We start from the raw sequence: 17,588 nt of genomic DNA, 5'->3' as shown, positions 1-17,588 counted from the left end.
TTCCTAAAAACCTTTTAACTGCAGGTTAATTAAGCAATTGTGGCATGATCAAAGAAGAGCAAAACTAACCTGAGGGATAAATCATCATGACTGCCAGACCCATGAATTTATTGTCTTATCTTGTAAAATGAAAGCATATTTATGGTATCTATGTCAATAACACATAGGCTGATGAAAGCAACTGTGTTGAACTCATGAATGGCATTAAGTTGTATTTTTCACAAAATCTTGAGGGGAAACGTTTTTTAAATTATTTTTTCAGTTATTTAAAAAGAATACCCTCCCCCGTCTCCATTTTTCCCTTGTTTTGCATCCTATATTTGTCCACTGCACTTTTTGCTCGTATTATTTTCTTTCCTCCTATTATTTCTCTTCCCTCTTTATTTCCTCCCTCTCTCCTGCTTTCCTTCCACATTTTACTTTTGCAGCTTTCTTATAAGCAACAGAAAGACAGAGGCAGTGAATTATATGCTTATTCAAAGTGTTGAAATAATAGAATCTTCAGTATTTACATAAAATCAAAGCCGTAAGAAGACCCTGTTTCTACTTTAAGTTTTTTCATCCCTACCTTGAGTTTATCTCCAGTGATATCCATTAATATCACTGGATAAATTAATATTATTTGAATAAATCAATATTATGATTTAACTCTCTTACTCAGGTCTTTATTGTCTCCAATCCAAACTATATGCAGCCATGAAGGTTTTTTGGGCATGCAAATGGGACTGTCTTCTGCCTCAGAAATCTCTGTGGCTTCCCAGCAACCACAGCAATGCCATCACCCTTGGTGTATTAGTCTCATCACAGTATGATCTTTGCCAGAGGTTCCAGTCTCTTCTGCCTCCCTCCCCTAATGGCAGCATTCCCCTCCCAGACGTTAGACTTTACTTCTGCTTTTCTCTCAGCTGTCTCATTCTTTCTTCCACTTATCCGACTCCTTAGCAGTCTTTAAATTTCAATCCAAATTAGACATTTCCATGGTAAATATCCCTGATGCCTCCTTTCTCAGGCAGATTGAAGCATAATTTTTCCTGGGCTCCCACTTTAATTTGTGAGTACTCACCCATTAGTGTATATGTTAATCCCATGTATGTTTGCATGCCTTCACACACAAGACACAGAATTCTAAATTCCTTGAAGGCAGACTGTAATTCAGACTCAGGTCTTTCTGACTTCAAAGGCCACTATGTTTTGTGTCATATTGGATGTGAAAGGTTAATGTCAATGGAGAAGCTGAAGGTGCCACTGAGATCTCAAATTTAACTGATTGGAAAGATGGTGATATCGTGGATGGAGAGAGGAGGCTGAAGGAGTAGGTTATGGGTGGTAACATTAAATACCCATAGTGGATGATTTGAATAAAAAGAGAAATTGGGTGAAGAATGGTTTGGTGAGAAAGGCCAATATTAAAGGCATGATGACAGGAACTTGAAGAAGCAGTCAGAAGGGACAAAAGCAAGGATAGAAGCCAAAATAGACACATTTTTAAGGAGAAAGGAGTTAACATGGTAAATGCTTTAATAAGTCCATTAAGTTTCTGGACTAAAAATAGACCATTGTACATTGAGTTTGATAAATAGAAAATCATTTCAAAGAAATTTCAGAATCTGGGGTGGGATAAATCAAATTGTAATAAATTCTAGAGGGAGATGAAGTTGGAGAAGTATAGATTTGTATGCCATTTAGGAAGTTTGGACTTGAAAGTGGGTAAGGAAGAGAGGGTGGTATAGTTGCTGTAGGACCTATCTTAACTTGAAGGGAGAAAGAAGCATATGTGAAGGAATTTTTAACATACTTGTAGGTTTAAAGGAGGCAGCTGGTGGGGATGAAGAATTTGAAAGAACAGAAAATATGAAATATAATTGATGGGACTAATGTGTACAAGAGAAAGGGGACAGAATGCAGAGGACAGATGGACAGCTTAGCTTGGGTGAACAGACTTTTCTCTAGATGGATGAATGGATGGATGGACGGATGGCATATTGACTGAAGAGGCAGTTATATGTGGCAAAGAACAGGGAGAGATAGGATAACTTTATAACCCATGATCTTGATTTTTCTTTGATTAAATGAGACAAACTCTGTGAATTGAAAAGATATTATAAGTGTTTGCTTTCTCTCTCTCTCTCGTCTTTTGGATTTTATGATGTTGGGGTGGGCATCACCTGCTTTAGTCCAACTTATGAATCTATCAGCTGCAATTCATATTAGTCTCAGGTGAGCAATAATCTTCTGTTGCTCATTATGGAAAAGCAATTAAGCAGTACTAATGGACTGTACAGGCATTTACCTTTAATTTTGATATCTGAAGGTTTTAAAAAAATGCTTATGCAGGAAAATATTTTTTTCTTTTCTTGTTAGGATGGCTGGTTTGAGTATTTAATGTGATTAAAAGCAAACAAGCTTTGTAGTGTGTAGCTTTGCTTACTGGGTGGATATAATTGCACAGGATGAAATTGGAGATGTACATATAATGCTTGAAAAGAATTGGGGGGCCTTGAAAGATTAGTTTTGGCAGAAATAAAATGTTACACTCCTAGGACCAAAACACCCAAAGCAGCGTAGGGGGCCTACCTGAGGGACAGAAAGTCAGCATCTTCATCTTCTTATCTCAAATGTTCAGGTAGTATAACTTGGGGGTAGGCCATATTTCAATTCATCCATATTTTCCAGACAAACACATTTAATTCTGTATGATTGCCTGGGCATAGTTATCAATATTCCCCCCAAATCTTCACTATGTTTAATTCATGAAATCTTTGTTTTCATGAGCTCAAATGCCTTCAACTATTAAGTACAGTCTACTTTAAATATTTGATAGGTTAATGAAAAGGTTTTTAGTATTTAATTTTCAAAAATGGATTTTTTTCAATAAGAGTTGAAACTCTCAATAGAAAGGGGCCTTGGGGATTGGCTTTTTTTGGCAAAATAGTAATTGCTACTAGTTATAGAGTCCCTTCCACATGCTAAAACCATTGTACACATTATCTTATTTATTTGAACAGCCACCATCTAATCTCACTATGTGTAAGTTTGGATGTTGTGTGTTGACTCTTAAATTCCTCTGTAATAAGAGAATTAGCATGGTTTTTTAAAAAAATTCTTCTTCTCAACCTTCTTCTCAACCTATCACATGGTTAAGCCAAAAAAAGAAACTAAATAATTGCCACCTAAATAAAGCAATAATTGAAATGAAACAGTCATGTTTTTCTTCACAGGGACTGGCTTAGAAAGTGATTAATGGAAGGTAGTTTAAAAGTGCTAAATAGCCATTAATAAAATGCTTGTTGAATAAATTCATTTAACATTGTGAATACTACACATAAGATTTTTAAATGTTCCACATAGCCTGAAATTATTTGGCTCATTTTTCATGCTGCTTATGAGATTCTGATTTCCTCGAGTTGTTTGACAGCCACAGTATAAATTCATAATTTTGTGTATTTTCTTTGAACAGAGGAGAATACAACTCACACAGTATTTACTGAGTACATTTAATGTATTTGCAGAGTTCTGGGATAGACTCGGAAGAAGCTGGGAGTATGGGTCACCAAGGGTTGGGTAGGCAAAATCGGTATGTTATATTTCCTGCTGCTGGAGTTTGCACACTGTTGTAGGGGAGTAAGGGATAATACAAATTACTACGACACATTTAACAAATGCCAAGTAAAACTTATGAATGAAAGTACTGAAAAAAACTACCGTTTTTATATGATTCTATATTTAAAATTTAAAATCGATTTTATATTTTATTTCTGCGGGATACAATGAAGCTTGAGGAAAAGTAGAAATGTATCTCTTCCTCCATTTCCCTTCTTCTGCTCCCCAGAAGTGCACCAGAAAGAAGTGCTATTTTCCGGGATGAAATCTCTCTGGCCTATCAGTTCTAGAACGTCTATTCAAATTTACCCTCCTATTTTCTATTACATCTGGAATTTGCTAAGTGTTTCACAAACTAAACAATGAGCCAATTAGCAATTAAGCATTAATGACTCACTGCGGTAGCTCTTAGAGCTAATACATGTACAAATTTATGGGAACTTTTCTAAATCAAAATATTGGATATGGTGGTAGTAATTACTGTCCACAGGGTGAATCTATGGGGAAATATTTTGGAGCTAGATTAGGTTTTGAGTCTTTCGTGTTAAAAACTCTTTATAGTCTTAGATTTCATCCTTCCTGCAAGACAGTTTCACACAAGCTGGCAAAATGCATAAGACTCCTAGATCAGATATAAAAGGCAAGGTTATATGATAGATCATATAGTAATGCTCACAGGAATAGCAGTTGCCAGAGTATCATCATTTTCTTTTGCCACTTCCTACGGCCCAGTTCCCACAGGATGATATAAGAATGACCTGGGGATGCCTGCACACTGATAGGCTGTGCGTCAGGAGAGGTATGTTGAGCTTAGGGAGCCCAAATCTTTCATGATGGTCTCAAGATAATCTGCCCAAACTTTGTCCCAGAGGGAGACATTCTGTTTATGATACTGGATGATAGGCAAACCTGCCCTTTGCTCTGCAGGAAGACACCATCTCTATCTTCCAAGCTGTTCAGTATATAAATATCCTTGCAAGGTGGTCATGACAGAAGGGCAATTAGTGCCTCTGTGTGGAAGACATGCAGAAATGCACAACACCCATGGAAAATTGTCTCCTGACACTGTATTATGAGTTGTTTTTCAGCAAATATCTCCTTTCACAAGCCAAGCAATGTTTTAGGTGCTCTAGGGTACACTTATCAACATCCTCATTTACTCCTCAAATGATGCTATGAAAGAGATTTTATTATTTCTATTTTACAGATGAGGGGCCTAAGACTTAGAGAAATAAAGTTACCTGCTAAAACACAATGAGTGTCATTGTTGGAATTTAAGACCCAGATTTCCCTGACTCCCACATTACTGCCCTCTTCACTTCAAAGATCAACCTACCTTTCTGTACAGGGGGCATTGACAACTATAAGGACCCCATTGGAACATAAATCTAACTTAAAGGACTTTCTGCAGAAGGTGATTATACTTAGCAATTCATTAAATGAATGAATAATATCCCTCTTTGTGTTTATGCTCCATTGACTAAATTCATTTAAAAGGAGAGATGGGATTAGTAAAGAAAAAGAAAAAGAAAAAGAAAACAGACTCAATTAGGCTCAATTAAAGAACCTCTGACTTAAGTCTCCAGTTTTCTTCATATTTTACCTGTTTAGCTGTCAGATAAATTCCATTATTGAATTTGATAATTTTTCTTTAAAAAATTTAAAAGGGTACTTTTCCTTTAAAACATTTTAAAAGGATACTTTTCCCCTTTTTTACTATAAAGGAAGTGGCTTTTCCTAATTCCCTACAGTTTTTCTTCTACAGGTTGTCCTGAATGTATGAATGCCAAGTATAGCAATTTTTACCTACGGCATCAGATGCTGTTTTTTTAGAGAGGAAAGATTCAATAATAAAATCAAGTAAGACTGCTGATTCTGGCCAGAATTCTTCAAAAGAAAGGTAGCTCTCTAGCAAATAAATATAAATTCTTTTCTTTTTTCTTTTTTTTTTCTTTTCTTTTTTTTTTTTTTTTTTTTTTGAGATAGGGCTTCACTCCTGTTACCCAAGCTGAAGTGCAATGGCACAATCTTGGCTCGCTGCAACCTCCGCCTCCCAGGCTCAGGTGATTCTCCTGCCTCAGCCTCCCAAGTAGCTGGGATCACAGGCACACACCACCACCTCCAGTTAATTTTTTTGTATTTATTTTGTAGAGATGGGGTTTCGCCATGTTGCCCAGGCTGGTCTTGAACTCCTCAGCTCAAGTGATCCACCTGCCTTGGCCTTCCAAAGTGTTGGGATTACAGGCATGAGCCACCATGCCTGGGCTAGTAAATATTTTCTGATCTTCACTTGGTTCAATACTTTGACTCTTTGGGACAGTTAATTGCCATCAAGAAGTTGGTAGTAAGGATAGTCTTGACTTGCTAACCACTAAAATATGGTCTGTGTTCTTGACCACCAAGGTGTGTTGAAAGTCACTTATGAATAGCTCTACTGTCCCACTGTTTGTGTGCATGTTTCTAAGCACCATTCCCAGGACATGCTCTGTGTGGTTCTCTCCTATGGTATAACATTTAGGCTGCTCTTTTTGCCTCTAATGCTCTCCTTCCACATTATTTCATGATCTTCAAGTTTCATCCCAAGAAAGAAGAGATGCCTGATCTTTCCCACAGATTGTAATACTTTCCTAACGTGAACTGCCTTAGACTCTAGTTTTCCTTTTCATGGATCATCTTGATTTTATATCTGCTTTATCCACACAGACATAATGTAAACTTCTTTTGGCAGTAATGGGTGTCTTACTTATCTTTGTATATTGCATAAATTATATTTGACATCTGATATGGTTAGGCTTTGTGTTCCCACCCAAATCTCATCTTGGATTGTAATCCTCATAATCCCCATAATTCCCACATGTCAAGAGCGACCAGGTAAAGGTAATTGAATCATAGGGAGTGGTTTCTCCCATGCTATTCTCATGATAGTGAGTTCTCATGAGATCTGATGGTTTTATAAGGGGTTCTTTCCCCTTCACTCAGCACTTCTCATTCCTGCCGCCTTGTAAAGTAGGTACTTTGCTTCCTCTTCACCATCTACCATTATTGTAAGTTTCCTGAGGCCTCCCTAGCAATGCTGAACTGTGAAAAAATTAAACCTCTTTTCCTTATAAATTACCTAGTCTCAGGCAGTTGTCTATAAGGGTTTGAAAACAGACTCATACAACCTCCTATAACTTTGAGGAGGCCCGAAGATACACCTCAGAGCAACTGGCAAAGAGGACACATGGAATGCAATGTGAGGAAGGTCACTGCAAGCAAATATTTCCCTGGTGTGATTAGGTCCCAGCTCCTTCTGCTGTATGCTAAAGGGTATATGCTTCCACATCTTGCCTGGCTGGGTGTGCCCATTCTGTTGGTGCCTTGCTGTCTACACTAGATATTTCCTGCTAAGCACTGAGGGGAGCTCTTTCCTGTGTCTTGACTTACCTAAAACATTCTGAATCTGCCCTAGCATTGCTTGTTCTGAGGTCTCAGTACATGATATACAAGGAAAAAAAATTCTGATCCCAGTGTTGTCACTTTTTTTGTAAAAACAAACAAAATAATATTCTCTTAATAATTAGTAACAGTAACGAGTATTGTGAGCAGATGGCTTTCCATCTTCTTTCTACTTAAGGCAGAGTACAGGTTACACTTCAATTCTGCAGATGCCATGGTCTCTATGTGATGTCAAATGAGTAAATTTAACTGGAATGTGTGTTTACATTGGCATAAATATAAGATTTCCATGATGTTCCTTTTCCTGCTGCTTGTTTATATTATATGTTTTCATATATTTATGTATATATAAATGTAGGTTTATATATATCTGTGACATTATTTATATATATATGTAGATAGATACAGATATATACACAATACACAATTCTACAATGCATATTTTATACATTAAAATGTTTTCTGACACTAGTGTACTTCTTATATGGATTTGTATATTTAATGTAGCATTTCTTCTTCTGCAAAGCTATATTGAAAAAAGCTGATGGATCATGCATTTTACAATTGATAGCATCTTAGGAACAACTAAATACATTATTTAAATTAGGGAAAGGCTAGTTGAAAGAAAATCACCGTAGTTTATAATGGGAACAAAGTCCTTTTACCAGAGTTAAGCACACAAATATGATTGCTATGCCCTTAGATTTCTGAATAGAATGAGAGGCAGAGTCAATGTTTGGCTTCAATATAGCATTTACACAAGATGGCAAGTATTCCTGGGGATGCTGTAGTTCCAACAACACAATCTTCTCCAGTCTAACATCACAGTAATCTTTGTTGGCATTAAAGCTATTTCATCTCTGGCAGAGTAACATTCAGTGTATGGATTAGGAGTCTTATCTTGCTAAAACCAGCAACATCAGGAATCGATAGATGAGTGACTTCTGCAAATGGTACCTGAGGGAGGAGCATACTTTTCTCCTTGAAATTTCCAGGGATAATCCTAACACTGTAGTTGGCACAAATGATGTGGTGGAATAAGTTGATTTTTCTGAAATTTTTTTTTTCAAGCTCAGATTAGGTCCCAGCAGATGAACAGTCTAGGTTCAGTTGTGTTTTTTGTTTGTTATTTTGTTTTAATCAATGGAAGGAAAATAACAAAAACATTTTGTTCCTTTTCTAGGTACAGAAATTGATATAGCACATAAACTTTACTGAAAGCATCTAAATGAATCCTGCCAAACTGCTTGTAAAGCCTAACTTTATTTTTCATAAAGTTTTACTCACCTTTGATGTAAATATAAATATATGTGTATATTTCATTCACATGAACAGAGATAAAATGTTTTCTTCTGGGATAAAATTCTTTTCTCTTTAAAAATGGTTACTTGCCAAGGAAGAACTTTTCTTTTCTAGGCCTTGGTTTCCCCATATGAAAAATTGTGAAAATGATAGCTTCTACATCAAATGGTTATTATGGAGAATGAATCACATAATGTAATAAGGCACTTAGCCTGATGCCTGACAAAGTAGGATTTCAGTAAATAATAAATAAATAACAAGTAAATAATAGATAATAATTGTATGTAGACACTTTTCACACTCATACATTTTAAGTGTATTCACAACTTGTATGTCTATCGTCAGTCAGCAGAATGTTTGTGCAGACATGCTCCAGTGAAAGATGGGCTTTGCTTTTGTTTTCTAGTCCCTGCATCCCCACTCTTGGCAGACATCTTTCCAGATTCTGTCTGTAAGAAGCTTATTTCTTAGTGTCCAGAGATTACAGACATGTCTATGTTTGGCTCTGTGGAAGGCTGGTTTCCATGTGTATTCTCACAGCAAGACAGGTCACCATAGTCGGAGCCTGACTCACAACAACCACTTTCAACTTCCATTTCATTTTCCAGCCTTTCTCCATCTTGTGATGAGCAGCGGCTGCCACCACTGCCACCTCATTCAGTCATTCTCGGTCTCAAAATGCAGTGAAGCTTCTCTTCTCTGATCTCCCTACATTGAAGCATATTATTCTTGCTCTTGTTGCTTGTGGAAAGTGAATTAAATTGAAATCTGGAGTGCAGCCGCCTGTGTGTGAGACTCATTTTTTGCTAAGCAATGTCATCAGCCCACAGCTTACATTTTTCTTCTTGGTTTTGTTTATTTGTAATTTGCCTACATATGGCATTAAAAAAGCACTGGAAAAAGAGAGAAAAAGGTACAGAAGCTGACAATAAGAAACAGATCATTGACATCCCTCATGCAAATCCCTTTTCTTAATTGTCTCTCTCTCTCTGAGTGGAAAGTGAACACAACTCTGTACCAGTGAATGGTTCTCTGCTTTGGTGAAATAATAAAGAGGCAAGCCTTGCTCCTGCTTTCTGGGGTAGACACAGGGAGCTTCCTCAAGATACAGAACAATTCCAGGGACAGTTTCTTCTCTCACACATCATAGATGCCACTGGCATGAATGGAAAAGGGTCACCAGAGAACTAATGTGTATTGACTGCCATTGAAGTCCCAGAGGCTGTGTTAGATATTTACATTCTTAAAAAAAATCAATAATGAATTGATTAGGAGCGATTACTTCAGACTGTTATTGGAAGGCAGGCCTTGAGTGTGAGATGTGCAGTTTCTTGGCACGTTGAACAAAGAACTGAACAAAACACACAAAGTAACAAAGGATGGAAATAAAGGAATGAAATAGCAAAGGTAAAGATGTATTGAAGAAAGAAAACACTCCACCTGGTGGGAGCACGCCATCAAGTGGCTCAAGGGCCCTGGTTACAAAGTTTTCTGGCATTTAAGTACCCACTTTTGATGTCTCAATTGGCTACTCCTGTGAGTGAAGGATTTAGCCCATGGCCAATTACAGGCTGGAGCGGATTGGGGCCCTATGCACATCAAGGGCTGGTCCATGCTTCCTCCTCCCCTCCCACATCCGAGGCACTTTCTCTTTCCATCTGGGGCATAGTGGGCAGCAAGTGTTGTAGGGGAGTAGCCTTTGATCCTTTGTTACTGGGGCGTAGGGAAATGGTTTTTTTTTTTTTCTTTTTTGATCCAGCTTTAGGAAGTTAGCACAAATCGGCTTTAGGTTCCCTGACCCCAGACCCAGGTGTTTCTTGATCCAGCTTTAGGACGTTAGCACAAATTAGCCTTAGGCTACCTGCCCCCAGACCCCGGTATTTTCGTTTTTATGATCCAGCTTTAGGAAATTAGCGGGAATTGGCTCTCAATTCCCTGCCTCCAGACCTTATTCTCCTGCCTCAAGATCTCTGAGATAGCTGTGGTCGAATGGAAGGGAGAATTCAACCCTGCAAGTTAGGAGACCATTGCTAGTACTGGTTCAGTCACTAAGGACCTGTGGTGGTATTGCAGAATGTCCCTTCACCAACGGTTCCTCTGTTTGTACGGTAAGTGAGTTGAGTTTGTAAATTCTATGCTTAAAGTCACAAGATGGGCAAATTTTGGTGCCATTTTAACTCCTGTTTAACACCAGCATATGTTTATCAGTAACTGTCTTAGTTTAATTCTCAATTATTTAGTGATTGCTTATATAGCTGATAAAGCTTGGGGCTTTCTGATTTTTTCCCTTTCCTCCTGCTGCTCACTTTTGGGCCATTTAAGCACTCATTGATATATTTATCTCAGACTGGAGAAATAATATAGATAGGAACTCAATGAAGTCCATTGAACTCCTTAGTAATAACTCTGATAAAAAGGACTCAGATGAAAGGGCTAAAACCTTGTGATTCCAGTGAAATTTGGAAATTTATTTAATATTTTGATGAAGTTTGAGAACTTATTTTTCCATTTATTTTGTATGTACTATTGCAACTTAGAGGCAGGAAATGGCTATAAGGTAAACAAGAGTCTAGTTGGAATTAGGGATGTATAATCTTATATAAATCAAGGGACTTTGCATGGGTAACCTTGATTTCCAAATTCATTTGGTACAGGACTAAAAACTAATTCCCATACATGAAGTGCCAGCATGACTTACGATAGCAGATGGAGTATTTTATATATCTACTAATACAAGCCTTTTTCTGGAAACAGACTAAGTCAAGACTTTCCCAGTAATTAAAGAAACATTGTCAGTATTGTTTGCCTAATTGGCCAAATTGTGTACTTATAAAAAACACACCTTTGGGAGGCCAAGGCAGGAGGATCACCTGAGGGCAGGAGTTTGAGATTAGCCTGCCCAACATGGTGAAACCCTGTCTCTACTAAAAATACAAAAATTAGCTGGGTGTGGTGGTGTGCACCTGTAATCCCAGCTACTTGGGAGGCTGAGGCAGGAGAATTGCTTGAACCTGGGAGAGGGAGGTTGCAGTGAGCCGAGATAGCGCCATTGCACTCCACCCTTGGCGATAAGAGCCAGACTCCATCTCAAAAAATAAACAAAAAACAAAACAAAACAAAAAACCCCCACAAACAAACATCCCTTTGGGGGACAAAAAACACCTAACATCCTAAAATTATTACTATATGTTTGGCACTTTGCCTAGCTCATTATATACTTCATTTAATTCTCAAAAAAGAGCAGTAACATCTATGATGCCCAAAACATATTTTATTCCGTTAATGCCAAAAAGAAGGCCATTGTTCTTCACCACATTTACTTATTTTTTCCTTTCTTCTACTTGTTTTCCTCTGCTCACATCCCTTCCTTGTTCTACTTTCCTGGACTCCTTGGTCCCAGCAGCTGATAGTCATTCCTTTTCTTCCTTCCCCTTCCATGTGCTTCCTGCTGTGCAGTCTTGGGCTTGCCCCAGGCTCCCGTGGGTGTCCTTTAAGTTCCCTGGCAACTTTTGAGATTAAAACTGTTGCAGGCTGCTGGCATAAGTCAAGTCACATTTGGCAAAATGTGTGTTATGTATCTGGAAACTGGGTTATACTCATTCTAGGGCAATTAACTGGATAATTACTCTGGCATAAAGACAGCCTTGTACTATTCTTGTAATAAAATAAATAATTTTAACTACAGTTCTACCTAATACTTCCAGAGTGTAAAAATCCTGGCCCATTCTTACTGTAGATCAATTAAATGTCTCTGAAGTTTCTTTATGTTCTCTTTTATAGGAATTTTGCTGGCCATAATCATTGTGTTGTTTTTGAAGTGGGAGTCCTTGGTCTCTCATGGAATAAAAACCAAATGCTCCCTGAATTAAGCAAAGTGTGCATGGGAGGAAGCAAAAAGCTCATAACCTTTTCTTCCTTTAATTTTCTTTGGCCAGGGCATTCTCCTGGCTTGTCTAGCACTTTAGATAAATGAACACAAAAAGGATGAAGAAGTCCACAGTTTTAATGGGTGATATTTGAGAGAATTTTACAAATGAGAGGAGGAAGGATATTCCTGGTCTGATACTGATATTATGTATATCATTAACTAGTCACTCTAGCTGATCTGACCTTAGGTAGTTACAAAGAACCTAAACCATGTGTTCATTTTTGTGCTGTGTGCTGTTCCGCAAACAGGGAAAATAATTGGGTACCTTGCCCTTAGGACCTTATCATGCTTTTGGGAAATTCAGAGGACTCCATACACTTAACAAGAATGAGCTATGCAGGAGAGCTGGGGTAGTTTTTTAATTCTTTTCAATGGATATTAAGGGCTGCTGGTATTCAGAAGAAACAAAAAGAGCTGTATGGTCCAAAAAGATTTCTTGGAGAATTTTGGGCTGGAAATAAGCCTTAAAGAATGTGTGGCAAGTGAGTAAGAAAGAAGAGGGTGTCTCAAGCAAGAGATGTTTTTCCTTGTGTCTCTCTCCTCACTCCCCATCTTACCTACTCTTTTATGGTGAAACTGGGCAAACAAACTGATCAGTGAGGCAGAGTAGATGAGTTTTCAAGTTTGGGAATCTGATTGTTGGTTTGGATTGCTGTTTGTCACCCACAGGCTCTGTGTTCTTGACCCAAATTTCAGGTTTGTCATCTATAAAATAAGGATGATGATGTCACTTATCTCTGAGTTTTTCAGAGGATTTGCTGTGATATTCTTAATTAATTCAACACATGTTTTTGAGCCCTTAGTTCTTGGTTCTCTGCTAGGCTTGGAGAATGTAGAAGTGGCACAATGGATACATCTTTGTCCTCAAGGAGCTTAGAGTCCAGCAAGGAAGGCAGATGCAATTACATAACATGCTTCCCAGAGTTCCTGGGTCATAGCAAGTCTTCAGTTTTATATTGGTACGTATCAGCTGCTATTTTCAATAATTATAGTGATTCAAGTGGGGACCTAGAAAATAGAAAAAAAACACCTTTAATCTTCTGCCAACACAATTAGATTAGCCGGTGGTATTTTGCAAATTCAATATTTTATGTTGAGTGACCAAACTTCCTTAAAAGTTTCCCAATCTAAACAGTATCATAATATATTGATCTTAATACATGGTCATACATTAGGTTGAACTATACCTCTTTGAGAATAGGAGTTCTGTCTTTATATTTGTATGACCAGTGACAAAGAAACTGTATAGCATGGTGGAGCTACTCAACTATGAAACTGATTTACTTTCTTGACTTCCATTCTGAATAAAATTTATCTAGTCACATCTTTGGCCTTCAAAGCTGCAATGCTGTATAAACGACACCTTGGACATATCTCAACTCAGTAACCACTTAGACTTATAGAATGTTGTTTTGTCTTGTCTACGTTTTGTCCTCTCCCCGCTCAAGTTTTTGATGCCAACCATCACAGATTCCTGAGAAGCAGACTGTGATTCAGAGATTGGGGTACAGGAAGTTTATCAGGAAATTCTCTTGGGGCCATACTTGATACAGGGAGGGATGAAAAGAAAGCAAGATTGGTCAGAGGTAGAAGTTGGGCTATCATGAGGCCTCATTGGAGGTCTCAGCCAGCCCAAAGGGAGCTCTAAAGTGGGATGGGTCTTTCAGAGTTGTCCTGAGTTAGGGCAATGTGGCCCCAGGCTTTTATGTCCTCATGTTGATCAATCATTGGATGAGGGTTGTCCCAGGAATAGGGCATGGGCTTGGGTGAGGTGGCTCTCTCCAGCCAAGACAATTCCCTAAGAGGGCTGGCTGCCAAAGGAGCAATCCCAGAAGCTGAGAGATCAAGACCCTATTCCTGCAGTGGGATCTGGGTGGCACGTCACAATACGTACTACACACACAGTCTTCCCTAAAAGGTAAATTTGAGATTGGATCTAAAGTGGTATGTTTTTAGTTTTTATATTCTACCAAGGGAGAACCCATGCTGTATTAAATTATTATAGAATTGACATTCAACACTTTTAGGTCTTCTAAAAGCTTCCGTCACAAGAGAAACTTGACAAGACAGCATGACTTGGATTCTCTGAGCTATGTAGTCATTGGGTTAGAGAGGAGACTGGAGATTATCCATATAATCAGTCCATATTTACGACTAATCTTTCCCCCTCATATTTGGTTATATGTGAAATGGCTGAAAACTTTTGCTCTTTTTTTACGAGTTGTTTCTTGAATTCTGAGTCAGCATTCTCTCAGAAAAATGTTATAGTTAAATTAGATAGTTGCCTATCATTTACTGTCTTCTCTATTGCATGCGTATTCTTATTCTTGTTTACATTAGCAATAAATAGCTCCTGGAGAGTATAATGATACTTTTATTTCCATCAAGCACTGTGATCACAGCTTCAGTCATATCATAACACATTGCTGTACCGAGCTAAGTTAATGACTCCTCAATACAGTGTAATAAACTCATAAATGAACGTTTATTCAATTTTTAGTAATTGTGGGTTAAGTCTTCCAGGAATGCATAAAATATAGAGCCTTCTGAGTTTATGATTATTTTTCTTGCTTTTAAATTAATTTAATTTGTTACCATATATCTGATGTATTTCAATTCCAATTCAGAGATGTTGAAGTCGAGTCTTGTTTAAAAATTCATTCTTTAATGTTTTTATGTTTATTTTTTGAAGTAAAAAAAAACCTATAACGTAATGTAGAGGTGGGGGCAAAAGCCAATTATATGTAAAAAAATCAATTTTCATCTCAATGATGTGTCTTATTTGAGGCTGTTCAAGCTTTTGAAGAGAAAATATATAATACTTAAGAAATTTGCTTCTCTGGGTAAAAGATGTTTGTTAAAATTATAAGCCATGAGCTTTCTAGTTAGCTATATTTCTGTATGTATGTCTTAAAGAAAGTGTTTCATTTTAAATGACCAGAAGAAAAATCCCTAAACAAAACAAAATAGGTTAATGACCAGTTACAGATGTAAGAATTTCCATTTTAAATTTTCTATAATTAAACCTAAGGCTGTTCTTTTCAAACATTTTAAAGCTTCATAATATTTTTACTCAAACACTGAAATATCAGTTGAAAAATAAAACATTCATTTTAGTTTAATATGGAGATTCATACTCCCCTCCAAAACTAGGTATTATTTTTTATTTTCTTTTCTAACTGAAAAGATACTTATGCAAAATCTCATATATATACATATATATACATACTTTTTTTTTTTTAATTATACTTTAAGTTTTAGGATACATGTGCACATTGTGCAGGTTAGTTACATATGTATACATGTGCCATGCTGGTGCACTGCACCCACTAACTCATCATCTAGCATTAGGTATATCTCCCAATGCTATCCCTCCCCCTTCCCCCCACCCCACAACAGTCCCCAGAGTGTGATATTCCCCTTCCTGTATCCATGTGATCTCATTGTTCAATTCCCACCTATGAGTGAGAATATGCGGTGTTTGGTTTTTTGTTCTTGAGATAGTTTACTGAGAATGATGATTTCCAATTTCACCCATGTCCCTACAAAGGACATGAACTCATCATTTTTTATGGCTGCATAGTATTCCATGGTGTATATGTGCCACATTTTCTTAATCCAGTCTATCATTGTTGGACATTTGGGTTGGTTCCAAGTCTTTGCTATTGTGATACACACATATACATACATATATACATATATATATACATACATATATACATACATATATACATACTTATACATACATACATATATACATATATACATGTATATACATATATACGTATATATACGTATATATATATAAAACTGTAATGGATAAGATGATAAATCTCTATGCATCACTCAATTTCATCATTTATCGTCATGCTCAATCTTGTTTTATGTCTACCCTACTCACTCTCCTTTGTCCCCACCCAGAATATTTTAATGTTTTATGATTTTATCTACATATACTTTAATATATACCTTAATAAGATAGGGGTTATTTAAGACACAGGAGCAGAGACTTATTATTATACCTAAAAGTTAATAATAATTTTCCAAGAGCATTGTATATCCAATAAGGTTGAAAATCTCTGACTATGTCAGTATTTTAAAAAAGATTATTAGTTTAAATCAGTATTCATGTAAGGCTTATACATTATAGTTGGTCGATAAAACTTTGAAGTCTCTTTTGCCATATAGGTATCCTCTCCATCTTCAATTTTTTTTAAATAGTCTCTTTGCTGAACAAATCAGCTGATTTATCTTGCACAGTTTTCCATAGTCTGGATTTTGCTAATTGCATCTTATATCAATTAACACATTCCATTGTCCTATTGCCTATAAATTGGCAGTAAGATCTAGAGATTTGATCAGATTTAATTTTTTGACAAGAATATTTCAGGTAATATGTTGTACATCTGTCAAGAAGCATGAAATACCTGGCTGACTTTTTTATTATTGACTATTATTTATTATAGATGTATTACATAATTATGATGTTGAAATATTAAAATTCTATCACTCCTACTTAATTTATTCGCTGAGATACTTCTATAAAGAAATACATCTCTTCATCAACTGTTTAGATATCCTGAGGTATATACAGTTTGTATACAGATACAATTTGCTTTATTTTTTCTCTATATTTGCAATTTTCAAAATAACAAATTGGTTCCCATTATACTTCAAATATGACCAGTGAATTTTTTAGTTGTTATCTACCACATTTTAAATATATTTAATGTGTTCATCCATAGATGCAATTAAACTTATTGATATTCAAGAGTCCCATCTTTGGCCAGCAGAAGCCTCTTTAAGTTGGCTTTTATGACCCTTTAACCCATCTGAAATATTCTTCAGTAGCTTTCTAATTTTCTACATGGCAAGAAGTGTCAGCCTATTTTATGTCAAAGATCTGGAATCAGTCATTGCTGCAGAATTATTGGAAATAGTATTAAAAGTAACAACCTGGGTGGTAGGAGTTGTTATTTGCTTATTGTGATATAAGCTACTTATTGCTATTAGGTTGGTCATCATTTCAGGGTTTTTCAGTGAACCGAGGTTTTTTGGTTACTAAATTATATCATAAGTTGATATTGACATATTCTACTCACTTTTAGTGCTATAAGGTTTTTTTTACTTAACTGCATTGATCTGATATGTGTTTCCTTTGTCTTATGCTGAAAATCTCAGTTCACAAAGAAACCAGTATAATCATTCATTTGCTTTATTTCATGATATACACATAATGGACACAGAGTAAAACATAAACACTGCCATCAAAAATACGATGACTAAAGTTTAAAAAAGTTTGCAGTTATGTTTGTACTTA

General features: G+C 36.6%; 1 long non-coding RNA gene across 1 annotated transcript in view, besides 1 other annotated feature; it reads right to left on the bottom strand.

Annotated features, from left to right (window-relative positions):
- Window positions 9,602-10,152: an enhancer, noted in NCBI's record as "NANOG hESC enhancer chr7:110230392-110230942 (GRCh37/hg19 assembly coordinates)". NCBI's record gives its function as "activates a minimal SCP1, AML or CMV promoter by ChIP-STARR-seq in naive H9 embryonic stem cells {active_cell/tissue: H9 hESC(naive)}" and the evidence as "EXISTENCE:reporter gene assay evidence [ECO:0000049][PMID:30033119]".
- LOC124901723 (uncharacterized) overlaps window positions 13,208-17,588 on the bottom strand; it is a 13,378-nt gene continuing 8,997 nt past the window's right edge. Inside the window, exon 3 of the long non-coding RNA XR_007060474.1 lies at window positions 13,208-13,276. This is a non-coding gene — a long non-coding RNA (uncharacterized LOC124901723). The remainder of the gene's footprint in view (window positions 13,277-17,588) is intronic.

This window comes from Homo sapiens, chromosome 7 (assembly GCF_000001405.40).
Source record: "Homo sapiens chromosome 7, GRCh38.p14 Primary Assembly".
NCBI classification, from domain to species: Eukaryota; Metazoa; Chordata; class Mammalia; order Primates; family Hominidae; genus Homo; species Homo sapiens.
This window is presented reverse-complemented; position numbering and strand designations above follow the sequence as displayed.